The sequence below is a fragment of the Homo sapiens genome, chromosome 3 (assembly GCF_000001405.40).
Source record: "Homo sapiens chromosome 3, GRCh38.p14 Primary Assembly".
Taxonomy (NCBI): domain Eukaryota; kingdom Metazoa; phylum Chordata; class Mammalia; order Primates; family Hominidae; genus Homo; species Homo sapiens.
In genome coordinates, this window is record NC_000003.12 from 145,717,379 (window position 1) to 145,731,456 (window position 14,078).

Genomic DNA, 14,078 nt, shown 5'->3' on the forward strand with positions numbered 1-14,078 from the left:
GGCCATATTAGTCTGTTCTCACACTGCTAATAAAGACATACCCAAGACTGAATAATTTATAAAGGAAAGGAGGTTTAATGGACTCACAGTTCCACATGGCTGGGGAGGCCTCACAATCATGGCGAAAGGTGAAGGAGGAGCCTTCATAAGTATATAAAGACCCAAAGTAGTGGGTAAATCTGTGTGTTTTTGTGATAGTTGTGATGAAAAGTGGATAGTCATGTGGAAGTATGGCTTGATAAAAAACTATAATTTAATGGTAATAAAATGGAGGAAATATAGATCTGTTAGTTCAGATTCTTCTCTATGACCCAGTGTCTTCAGAAATAAATATGTTCTTTTCCTTGAGGGGTAGAGGGAACTTCTTACATTAAAGTCTTATAAACTGCTTCAGGAAAAGGTCATAAAATCTTTCCTAGGTTTTATGACCTGCTTCAGGGGAGAAAGGCATGGTCAAGTTGAGGATGACCTTACTGCTTCTACTGTTTTCTCAAACATCAGGATGTCATATTTTGAGGTACCATGTCCTGAACTTCACTACCTACATATATTTTTATATACTGACACACATGTATATATGTATATATACAGTTGACTGAAACAATTCCTCATGCAGTAGAAAATCTACCTATAACTTAACTTTCCCAAAATGTAACTACTTATAACTGACTATAGATTGCAAGCTTTACTGGTAACATAGTCAATTACGAATATTTCATATGTTGTATGTATTACATAAAATATTTTTACTATATATTAAGCTAGAGAAAATGAAAATGCTATTAAGATAATCATGAGGAAGAGAAAAATACATTTACTATTCATTAAGTGGAAGTTGATCTTCATAAACATCTTCATTCTTGATTTTCACATTGACCAGGCTAAGAAGAAGAAAGTAGAGGATTGGTCTGACTGCCTCAGGAAATGGCAAAAAGTGAAGAAAATCTGTATATAAGTGGACTTGCCCAGTTCAAACCCATGTTGTTGAAGGATCAACTGTATACATATATCAACTGTTGTGTATGTATATATTCTTGTGTATATTCTACTTGGATATACACAGACTACTTAAAAAATATTACCCATATGGAAATATAATAATCTTTGCCTTTGTGAATAAGAGTAGGGGTCTGGGTACAAGGGAAAGTTACTTTTAATTTCATAAATTTGGGCTGTTAGATTATTTTACTGTATGCACGCATCATTCTTTCTTCATAAAATGCCAATTACAATGAATGTACTGTAATATATTAATTTTATAATAATACAAGTAATTCTGTATGACTCTAAAACCCTCCTTGTTTCCATTGCTCCACAATGTGAACTGAAAGCTGCAAGCCTTAATCCTTTACCCTGATTCCTCAGGATTCACCATTAGGAAATATTATAAAAGTTGGGAAGAGCCAAAATCCTAGAGAGTAGAATCCAATCTCATAGTTTTTTAGCCTACCTATTGTTTCTGTATACCTAGTAGATATCCAAGAATAATTTGGTAATGCAATAAAACAATAACAGTAAGTGAAATAAATACAGAATAGTAGAATGTTGCCATTTGTATGGTTGAAATACTTTTATTTAAAGAAAATATTACTTTTTGCCTGAAAAACAAAGCTTCCCTAAAAATCAATTGCTTTGATACATGGTAGTAATATAAATATTTTTCTAATAGCTACAATTACCTTTGCTTTTCCAGTTCTATAGGCTAAATATAGTTTGATTTTTGTGTATGTGACATTTTTGTGGGCTAGTTAAGTTCCCTGGAGGGACATTGTCTCTTTCCAGAGATTTATGTGGTCTGAATGGTAGGGATGATAAGCACTTGCTGTTCAATAGTGTAGTTAATACACAGCCTCAGGATAAGAGAGCACTGAAGCACCCCATACTCTGAGGTACAGTGGCTCTGCAGCAATCAACAGCACTGTTGCTTTTTCTGAGGAAATTTGCATCAAAATGCTTAGTCCACAGGGAGTTCAACATTCACTCACTGCTCACTGCCTAAAGAAAACAGCTATTATGGTCATTTCCCAGTGTTTCAAGACAGAACAAAAAGCAAAGCAAAGAAAAGAAAACGAAACATTATTGTAAAAAGAATGGCAAGAGAAACAGAGCTGTCTTAATAGAAACATAATTCTGCCTTTAAGGTACACCTTAATAATCTACCAATTATGAGTTATTACTTTTCTCATAATGTACCATATTCATGGTAATGCAATGGAGGAGACAGATCTATCTTTAATATTGAAAATTAATATTAATATGAAACCTTTCTTTTATATTACTTACCTCATAAAGGATCTTATTTTCCTGCCTTTTTCCTATTTGTTTTCACTTATATTCAATAAAGGATATTTGAGGAGTTTTAGGGTCTGTTATAAGAAAATAAATGAATAAATGAAGAGAGGAAGGAGAGAAAAGGAGGAATTAGTGAAAGTTGATTTGGACTTTGTTTACACACACGTTTAGGTTAGTGCTCAAATTGCACTGTCCTATTTGTGTTTAAATATCTCAGAAGTATTTTTTTCAATTTTTGCTACAGACGCAGAATATTTTTCTGACCAAATAGTAGTCAGGTACCTCTGAATCCTCTTGCCAACTAGGCCTTAGACTTTTGGCATGTCTTTGCATCACCTAATTTTGGAAGAATCCTGCTAAGTTAGTTTAGCAAGAATTCTGCTAAGTTTTATATATATATATATATTTATATATATATTCATATATATATTTATATATTTTTTTATATATTTAATATTTTATATTAAATATATAAAAATATATATATAAATTTATATATAAATATACAAACATATATATAAAATGTATATATTTTTATATATAAATATATATAATTTATATATTTTTATATATAAATATATATAATTTATACATATAAAATCTATAAATATATATAAATATATAATATATATAATATATAAATATATATAAATATATATAATATATAAATATATATAAATATATATAATATATAATATATATAAATATATATTATATATTATATATATATAATATATATAATATATAAATATATATAATATATATAATATATAATATATATAAATATATATAATATATATAATATATAATATATATAAATATATATAATATATATAATATATAAATATATTTAAATATATAAATATATATAATATATAAATATATATAATATATATAATATATAAATATATATAATATATATAATATATAAATATATATAATATATATAATATATAAATATATATAAATATATAATATATATAATATATAAATATATATAATATATCTAATATATAAATATATATAAATATATAATATATAATATATAAATATATATAATATATAAATATATATAAATGTATAATATATATAATATATAAATATATATAAATATATAATATATATAATATATATAAATATATATAATATATAATATAGATAATATATATAAATATATATAATATATATAATATATATAATATATATAATATATAATATATATAATATATATAAATATATATAAATATATATAATATATATAAATATATATAATATATATAATATATATAAAATATATAAATATATATAATATATAATATATATAAATATATATAATATATAATATATATAAATATATATAAATATATATAAAATATATATAAATATATAAATATATAAATATATATAAAAATATATATAAATATATATAAATATATAAAAATATATATATAAATATATATAAATATAAATAAAATATATAAATATATAAAAAATATATTTACTTATATATAATATTTATATATAAATATATAAAAAATATATATATAAATATTATATATAAATATATAAAAATATATATATTTATATATAATATTATATATATATATAAAAATATATATATTTATATATAATATTATATATAAACAAATGGTGTGTATATATAAATATATATAAATATATATATAAATGAATGAATTTATATATATAAATTCTGCTAGATTATATATATATAAATGAATTATAATATATATATGTACATCCCACCCTCATATTTGGTCACCTTCAATATCTGGTCAGGGCTCTTATCCTCCACCATAGCCCAGGTGATGTCTGATTACTGTGGCCTGACTTCAGCAAGAATCCTGTTAGGGCGATTTAACCAGAATCTCCTCTTACCCCTGATGTTTCCTCTTGGTGCTTTTCATTCACCCACCCCTGCTCCTCGGCTATAAATTCCTACCATTCCTTGTTGTATTCAGAGTTGAGCCTAATCTTACCCCTTTACTGTAAATCCCACTCCAGTAGTCCCTATACCTATTATGATAGTCCCCTGCCTTACGGTTTTAATAAATAGTATAAATAAAACCTGCCTTACTGTTTTAATGTATCATGAATTTTTTTTAACAATGCAATGCAATTTCTTCTTTCAAACAAAAAAAAGTCAACAAGAATTAAAATAAGAAAAACTAACGTTTAGTTTAACTAGATAGAGTTCCAAAAGAATGCTACAATCCAAAGACAGCATTTATTAATAACAGTAAAGATAAGGTGAGGTAAAATAAGGTTGTCTATAACAGATGCTGCAGACACTAAGTAAAGCCCTTGTCCCCAGGTAGTTTGCATGTCCAGAAGACTCAAACAAGCATGCTGCCTCATGCTGCTGAGTGCAAGAGGAATGAGGTAGAACCAGGAAACTTCCAGACATGTCAAGTGTGAAAGAATAAGACTTTCTTTTTGCAGGATAAAAGGGAAAATGTGGGCAACAAAGAAGCTCTGCAATTGATTTAGGATGGCTTAAGAGTCTACCTGATACATGAATATGAAGCTTCCCTGCTAGTTGAACCTTAATTCCTACCAGCCTCGGGGAGAAACATGCAAAAGCAGAGTGTGGGTGAGAATGGGCTGTGCCACAGACTACAACCCAAGTCCCTGCTGACCAGGCTCTGCTTCACATGCTTCTCCCCTCACACATTCAATCATTTGTTGGATTATTATGTTATAAGTATGAACCTACAGGAAACCAATATTAGTACTACATTCAGATGGGAGAAAGAGAGGCAAGTATGTAAATTATAAGAAGAAACATAACAAATATATAAACCACAAAGAAATTAAAAAATATGCCACTACTCAATTATGTTATAGTACTGAAAGAAAATATATTATCTCTAAAGGAAGATCTCAAAGAAAAGAGAAAAGGGCTCCAAAAAGATATAGCAAAACAACAGAAAGAGTGAAATGGTTTAGTAATGCCAAGGAAGCAATAGTAGAAAAACTAATAGGGAATTACAACTATAGCAAAAAAGATAATAGATGCGGCCAAATTTGAGAGTAATCCTGTTGTATAAATATTCTAGAGACCCTCTCACAATAAAACATTTTCAAATAATATCTGAGATATTTTATTTTTAATTTTTTTTCAGGTTTCTCAAGATATAATTGATAAATGGAAATTGTACATATTTAAGAGGTATGACTTAGTGTTTTAATACATGTATGCATGGTGAAATGATCACCACCATCATGCTAATTGACATAATCATAACCTCACATTATTACTATTTTCTTTGTGTGTGCATGTGTGTGTGTATGTGTGTATGGTGAGAATATTAAGACATGTCCTCTTAGCAAATTTCAAATACATAGTACAGTATTGTTATTACTATACTCACCATGCTCTACGTTAGATCTCCAGAAGTCATTCATCTTACATAACTGACACTTTGTTCCCTTGACCAACTTCTCACTCTCCTCTGCCCCCTGGCAACCATCATCTAACCATTCTACTCTTTGTTTCTATAAGTTTGACTATTTTAGATTCCACATGTAAGTAAGAGTATGCTCTGTTTGTCTGTGTCTGGTTTATTTCACATAGCATAATATCTTCAAGGTACATTTATGTTGTTACAAATGGCAGAATTTCCTTCCTTTTTTGAAACAGAATAATATTTCATTGTATATATGCAACATTTTCTTTATCCTTTTGTCCTTTTTTGCTTCAATAAATGGTTTAAGGTAAACTGGGTATTCACATTCAGAAGAATAAAAATGGACCCTTATCTCACACCATATACAAAAATGAACCCAAAATGAATAACAGATTAAAGACTAGGACCTGAAACTGTAAAATTACCAAAAAATAAAATGAAATAAGGAGAAACCTTCTTGGCATTGGTCTTGGCAATAATTTTTTCAGTTGCAAAACCAAAAGCACAGGCAACAGAAACAAAAATAGACAAGTTGGATTTCATCAAACTAAAAAGCTTCTGCGCAGCAGTAAAAACAATAAGCAGAGTGAAAAGGCAACCTATAGAATAAAAGAGAATGTTTGCAAATCATTTATCTGATAAGAGGTTAATATCTAAAATATATAAGAAACTCATACAACTCAATAGCAAAAACACAAATAACTAGAATTTAAAAGTGGGCAAGTGACCTGAATACATATTTCTCAAAAGAAGACATGCAAATTTCAAAATGGTACATGAAAAGATGCTCTACATCCATATTAGTCGTTTTTATGCTTTTGATAAAGACATACTTGAGACTGGGCAATTTACTAAAGAAAGAGGTTTAATTGGACTTACAGTTCCACGTGGCTGGGGAAGCCTCACAATCATGGTGGAAGGCAAGGAGGAGCAAGTCATGTCTCACATGGATGGCAGCAGGCAAAGAGAGAGAGCTTGTAGAGGGGAACTCCTCTTTTTAAACCTGTCAGATCTTGTGAGACTTATTCACTATCACAAAAGAGTGAGCACAGGAAAGACTTGCCCCCATGATTCAATTACCTCCCACTGGGTCCCTCCCACAAGAGCCAAACCATATCAATGTCACTAACCATTAGTGAAGAGCAAATCAAAACCAAGATGAGATAATACCTTACTCCTGTTAGAATGGCTATTATCAAATAGCTAATATAGTTTAAGTGCATTAACTGAACTTAAAAACAGAAAATTTAAAATTCACACATCATAAAAAATAAGCATGATCAGTCATGACTCTAGGTAGTAAGCCAATGATAAACCCTCAGGGTTTGTGCTATGCCTGGTGATATGGTTTGTAACTGTGTCCCCACCAAATCTCATTTCGAATTATAATCCTCACCAAATCTCATTTCGAATTATAATCCCCATTGTTGGAGGTGGGGCCTAGTGGGAGTTGATTGGATCATGGGGAAGGAGTTTTCATGAATGATTTAGCACCATCCTCTTCGTGCTATTCTCCTGATAGTAAGTGAATGAGTTATCGGGAGGTCTGGATGTTTTAAAAGTGTATAGCACCTCCCCCCTCTCTCTATCTTCCTCCTGCTCCAGCCTTGTGAGAAACCTCGCTCCCCTTTGCCTTCCACCGTGATTACAAGTTTCCTGAGCACCCCCAGAAGCTGATTCCTCCATGCCTGTAGAACCATGAGCCAATTGAACCTATTTTCTTTATAAATTATGTAGGCTCAGGTATTTCTTTATAGCAATGCAAGAATAAACTAATACACCTGATAACCCAGAGCTTTGGGTTTTAATAGCTACACAGGGTATAGATAAAATGGGAAACTAGAACTAAGTCTCCAGATAAAGTTGAAATTCAATGTACTACAACATACAGAATTTTAAATCTTCCAACAGTAATATTTTTAGTTTATATCTAGACAAAAGGATGAAAGTCAAGGATTATTAGAAAGAGAAAATAATGTTTTAAATTCCTTAAATGACACTTAAGGAAGCCATGAGTTCATATAAATGATACTACTTGAAGAGAACATGTGGTAGAATTATACCAGTGATTTGGAGAAATCTAAAATACTGTGGATAATGGCATATTTTTTAAAGTATAGCATAGCAGAGTCTTCAAGGCCCCCAGTCAGCCATTTAACATGTTGAAAAACAGTAATGCAGCATGTTTTGAATGGACCTATCTATCCAAGTTGCATAAGTATTGCAGTATAGTCTAAATGTCCAGTGTATCACAACTGGGAAAGCACTGCACATAGAAGTGCTGAGAGGACCAGAAGACGAATCAAGGTCTGTGACCATGATAAAAAAAGAGCTCAGTTTTTAAAGACTTCACAGCCAAGAGCACCCTGCCAAGATGCTCAGTTTTTAGCATGATGCCATGAAGAACCTGGCAAGCTGCATTGATCATCCATGGTCCAGTGCAAAAGCCTCAGCTTTCAAATCTCACTATTTTCTTACAGTCAAAACTACCAAGGACACATAGAACACATAAATCCACAAACACAGTCAACAATCTATTCCTCATTCAAGTGAAATGGCAGAAACCTTACACTACAACCAGACACTCTTTGCAAAAAGAAGGGTGAAGAAAAACCTTGACAAACAAACTCAGTAGAGTTTAGAGACTGATAAGTTGAGACAGATACTTTTAAGTTCAAGAATATTTTACCCTGAAATTAAGTGGGATGGGTTTCAAGAGTAAAATTGTAGATAATTATGTGAAAATTATAAAAATTAATTAAACTAAAGAGCAAAGTATTTTTACATCACATAATTTGTGGTATAACAATTTTCCCTGCTATACACCGATATTCTTTCTTTGGTACATTTGCCTAAGCTCCCCACAAAGTCAGACTTTTTAAAGTAATCCTGACCTTGTGGTCATGTTCTTTCTCTGCGTCTCATTGTCTTAAAGTCCTAAATTCTTAACATGGCTTATACAGCCCCTACTTAATATCTTGAATGCTGTGGTTTAAATGTATGTGTCCCTCCAAAATTCTTACGTGGAATTTACCTGCCAAGGTGATGATATCAAAAGATGGCACCCATGAGAGGTGATTAGATAATGTGAGACATTAATTCCCTTGTAAAAGCAGCTTAACACAATTGCCTCCCTCTTCCATCTCTTTCATCATGTGAGTGCATAACGTTTCTCATGTCTGGGGTACATAGAAACAAGGAGCCTTCTCGGAAAAAGAGACCAGGCCCTCCTTATACACTGAACCTTCTTGCACCTTAATCATGGACTTCTCAGTCTCCAGAGCTGTGGGAAATAAATTCCTGTGATGTATTTTGTTATAGTACCACAAGTAGACTAAGACACCCAACTTACACCATAGCCCACTGGTGTCCTGTTTTGCTTTTTTTTTAATTCTTCCAAGAAACCATGATGCTTCCAAATTAAAAACCTTGGCACACAGTTTTCTATTTGCTTGGATCCTTTTCTCCTTCCTCTACTCATAATTAACTCCTGATCTTTACTAAGAGATCAGCTGAGTTGTCATTTCCTCCAGGTAGACTCCTCTCATAAACTCTGACTAGGGGTTGTTCTTTAATGCATTCTCATGGATAGATCTCTATTTCCTTGATAGTGTTTATCACAATTGCAATAAAAAATACCTCCAAAATTCATTATTTAAAATTGCTCTTCTCACTAAAATGAGGTTTAGAAACTTTGAGTTAGTTGTTCACCACAGTATCCCTTGTGCCTCTACATGATATCTTATAGTAAGGAATATTTATGAAGGAATATGTATGAATAAATGAATAACATGAGTTAATACATGCTATATCCCTACCTCTGTCATCTTCAGTATTCAACGTGTTTCAATGTTCTGTTTCTAATCATCTACCAAATCTGCTCTCATTAACGTCACTGTTATCTCCTTGTTGCTGCATATAAGATTTTGTAGCCCTCATGTTAGTAAACCCTCTGATGTATGTTCTGGAGACCACAATCTCCTTGAAAACCTTATGTGGAACCATTGTATATAAGGAAAAATAACCCAATGAGAAACAAAGTACCACATGACTAATAGACAAAAAAAAAAAAAAAAATCACTCACACAATCCAGGTCTTACTTGTAAAAAATTGTATTTGAAAACACTACTAAGACCTGGAAACTGAAGTAAATCCCTCTGAATTTACAGTATTTCAATGTGAAAAACAAGCTGAAGCATAAGTTTTATCTACCTAGTATCCACATAGAGTTACAGAAATAGAAGCAATAAAGCACAAAGTTAGGCAGCCTTCTAACATGATCCCCTGTGTAATCCATTGTCCTGGGGATGGGCTGGATCTAGTGAGTAGCTTCCAACAAATACGGTACAAATCGAATACAGCAAAAGTGGTCATGTCATTTCCTCGATTAAGTTACAAGAAACTGTATCTTCCTTTTTACTGAAACTCACTCTGTCTCTCTTGTTCACTTTGATAAACCCAGCTGCCATGTGGTAAGCGGCTATGGAGAGATCCACATGGCAAGGAACTAAGGGTGGACTTCGGCCAACAGCCAGTGATGTACTGAGGCTCTCAGTTCAATTGCCCATAAGTAACTGAATCTTGCCAACAACCACTGAATGAGTTTGGAAACAAACCCTGCCTCAGGCAAATCCTGAGTAGACTGTACCAACAGCTGATGCCTTGATTAAGGACTTGTGAGAGGCCCTAAGCTATGCCAACATTTATTCCTGCCCCACAGAAACTGTGAAATGCTAAATATGTACTTTTTAAGCTGCTAATATTTGAGGACAATTTGTTACACATACACACACACACACACACACACACACACACACAGGCTAGTCCATGGAGGCAGGTCCTACTATTCAAAATATAGAAGCCAGAAATGGGAAAAGTGGGCATCATGCATGGATGCTGACCTTTTAAAGTACAGCACATCATCCCTTTTATATTCATTCCTCTCACATTTTTAGCCCACCAAATACCCAACTATAAACAATCAAGTAAATAACTCCTATATTGTCCAGCATAATTCATGGAGATTTTACGGTAGACGTACTAATAAGATAATAAATGCTCAAAACTTAAAACCATTTCTCATTATTAAACTCCCAAAGTGACATTAAAACCCACAAATAAAGTCACATTCCTTTATAGAATTTAATGACAAAATAAATTACACTACAGCATGTTTTTCCCCTAAAATTTTATATTTTGTTCAGTTTAAGCCAAAATGAGCAATATTCTGATGTCTGGGTAGAAGTGTGGTTCTTTACTCAGCAGTGAAACTTGACATATTCTTTACTGAAGTAAAAGGTACTTCTTCCACCTCTCCAAAGTTAAGTCTCTCCTCATATGTCTCTACATGTTAGCATTAGTTTGCTAGGGCTGCCATGACAAAATACCACAGCCTGGGTAGCTTAGTGACAGAAACTTATTTTCTTGCATTTCCAGAGGCTAAAATCTGAGATCAATGTGTCAATAGTTTGTTGTTGTTGTTTGTTTGTCTGTTTTCTTCCTGAGGCCTCTCTTTCTGGTTTACAAATGGTTATCTTCTCCCTGTGTTTTCACATGGTATTTCCTTTGTCTGTGTCTGTGTCTTAATCTCCTCTGGACATAAGGGCACCTGTCACATTGGGTTGGGGTGCACCATATGACCTCATTTTACCTTAATTACCTTTTGAAATGTCCTATCTCTATATGTAGCTACATTCTGAGGTACTTGGGGTTACAACTTCGATATGGATTCTGAGGGAGCACAATTCTGCCCATAACAGTGACCATCAATTCCATGCATCAAAATGGATAATAGAATATGTAAATTTAATACCAGCCTCAATCACTATAAAATATAAAACCAAACGTAACCACTGCAGCAAAAAATATATTTGTTTCATTTTTATTTACTTACGTATTTATTTTGAGACAGGATCTCACTCTGTCCCCCAGGCTGTAGAGTAGTGGCATGATCATATTTCATTGCAGCCTCTAACTCCTGGGCTCAAGAGTTTCTCCTGCCTCAGCCTCCTGAGGTAAGACTACAGGCACATGCCTCCGTGCCTAGGTATTTTTAAGAAATATTGTTTGTAGAGACACAGTCTGTCTATGTTGCCCAGCTGGTCTCAAACTCCTGAGCTCAAGCAATCCTCCTGCCTCAGCCTCCCAAAGTGCTAGGATTATAGGCTTGAGCCACATGCCCAGCCAGAGCAATAACATTTTTTAAGAAAATAAATTTTGGTTATTTCCACTAATGGGACATAGAAAGGATTTTAAAACAGCTGGACTAAAGAAGGTTTAGACTAGACAGATAAAGTAAAAATAAAAATAAAATTATATACATATTCATTTTAGTCTTACTGAAATGTCAATCATCTTGTTGCCAATCTTCTTTTCCATTGGTTATTAACTTAAGTTCAACCAGAAGAAATCGCTTACCAAGGCCCTAATTTTGCCTGCTATTTTCCACAGTGTTGCAGAAAATCAAAGGCTTTCCTGCCCCTGTGCTTCCATTCTTGACTCTCTCTGATCGTATTCCCTCAGTGCCCTAATAAAACGCACTGAGGGAATAACTGTCACAATGTGCTTTATCCATTTCTTATCTTCCTCTTGCTATTTACATCCTTGGGGCTTGGTTTAGCTTTATTAATCCCCTGAAACTACACATATTTCTTCCCACAAACTGCTTTTCTGAAACAGCAAGACTTGACTTGCCCTAAAGAAGCCAAAGAGACCATAGCACCAGGCATGAAAACAGAAAATGAAGAAGTTAATTTTTTAAATTCTGATAAAACTTCTTTTGAAGTGACCTTTCCATGGATTGAACAAGAGCTCTCCTTCTTCATCTTGACATATGAACTTAGGGAGAATCAAAACTGTCCATTGCAGTCAAAGCTTTCAGAAGTTCTCCTTTTTTCTAGAAGTAAACTTTTAGTCACAACTAAGACTAGGTGCTTGTTGAGTGTGAGATCCTGAACCCCAAATATGCTTACTTTCTTGATTGCAATAGTTGTTTCCAATTATATCTGTTCACACTGGCTACACAGACAAAAAGATTCAATCTCCACATGTAGAATTTTGTTCCACAATGTAAGTTCTTCCTCCACCATGAAGCAAAATGACAGATTATTTACATTTGAGTCTGAACCAATTTAATTGCAACATTGCAGTGACAAGATGGTAAAACAGAAAGAAAGTAAACAGGCAAGCATACGTAGGTATGGCACTCATAGCTTCTAAAATTAAAAACACCACCCAAGACAATAGAAAGTGTAAGCTAATGATTATGCTGGACTGTGTCTTGAGTAGGCTTTCCTCTTTTCTTGGATCCAACTGATGAAGCTTGATAGAAGGGTAGACAGAGTGACAGCCCCATGGGGGAGATGCTAAAACTTGGGGCAAGAAGATAAAAATGCCCCCACTCCTCCCTACTTGCGCAGAAGTAGAAGCACAGGGAAAGAACAGGTGAGTTCCTCTAAACCAGTACTTTTTACAGTGTGGTCCACAGCCAGTGCAAGTTCTGCCAATGTGACTAATAAATTAAATGAGTTCAGGAATATGGAGGTAACCATTTAGACTTTTATAGGAACCTGAAAGAGTGGACTTTTGTCTGATGAATTTAATTTTAAAAATATGACCTTGCATATTGCTTATTTGTTTTCTATCTCAGTTTTCAAGTATTTCATTTTAATTATGATTTACTAAATTATTGATCAATAATAAGCTGGAAATAAAAAGGTCTGGTCCTTTCCTGCATACAGCACTCCTCCACATTCTAATACAATTGTTCTTTCAAGCATTGGACATGGGTGCCCTTTCACCTTTACAAAGAAGCTCCAGGAAACTTGTTATCTTTAACAAACCTTCAAGAGTAGAAGTTAAGAAATACTTATTCTCTCTTGTAATTTGCCAGTGTCTGCTCTGCAAATCTGTTTCCTGATGTAATTAACAAACTCACTGTCTTCTCTATGTAACTGTTCTTTCTTTTAGATTTGGCTTCATTCAGTTCACTTTTACCAAATACACACCTAACAATTGACAGATACTATATTGCCCAGATCAAATATAAGATAGAATCTCTAACTGGTCTTCATAAGGCCTGTGTTTCTTTGTGTGGCGATTTTACACTGGGCCACATTCTAATGGGAAGATTAGCTAAGGTGCTAGCTATTCTTGAGTCAGATACTACCAATTTTAACAACTGTGGTAGAGAAGGGGCTGTAGTATTGCAAAGTACAGAGCAAGCATACCACCATGTAAGGAATTATTAGGATGTGACAAACATAGACATTTTAACTTAGTTACAGGTAACATGATATTGTGAGAACATAAATAAATACAAATAAAACTTGGATACACAGATATCACAACCTTCTTCA

General features: G+C 32.8%; 1 annotated feature.

Annotated features, from left to right (window-relative positions):
• Positions 1,623-2,218: an enhancer, noted in NCBI's record as "OCT4-NANOG hESC enhancer chr3:145436788-145437383 (GRCh37/hg19 assembly coordinates)". NCBI's record gives its function as "activates a minimal SCP1, AML or CMV promoter by ChIP-STARR-seq in naive H9 embryonic stem cells {active_cell/tissue: H9 hESC(naive)}" and the evidence as "EXISTENCE:reporter gene assay evidence [ECO:0000049][PMID:30033119]".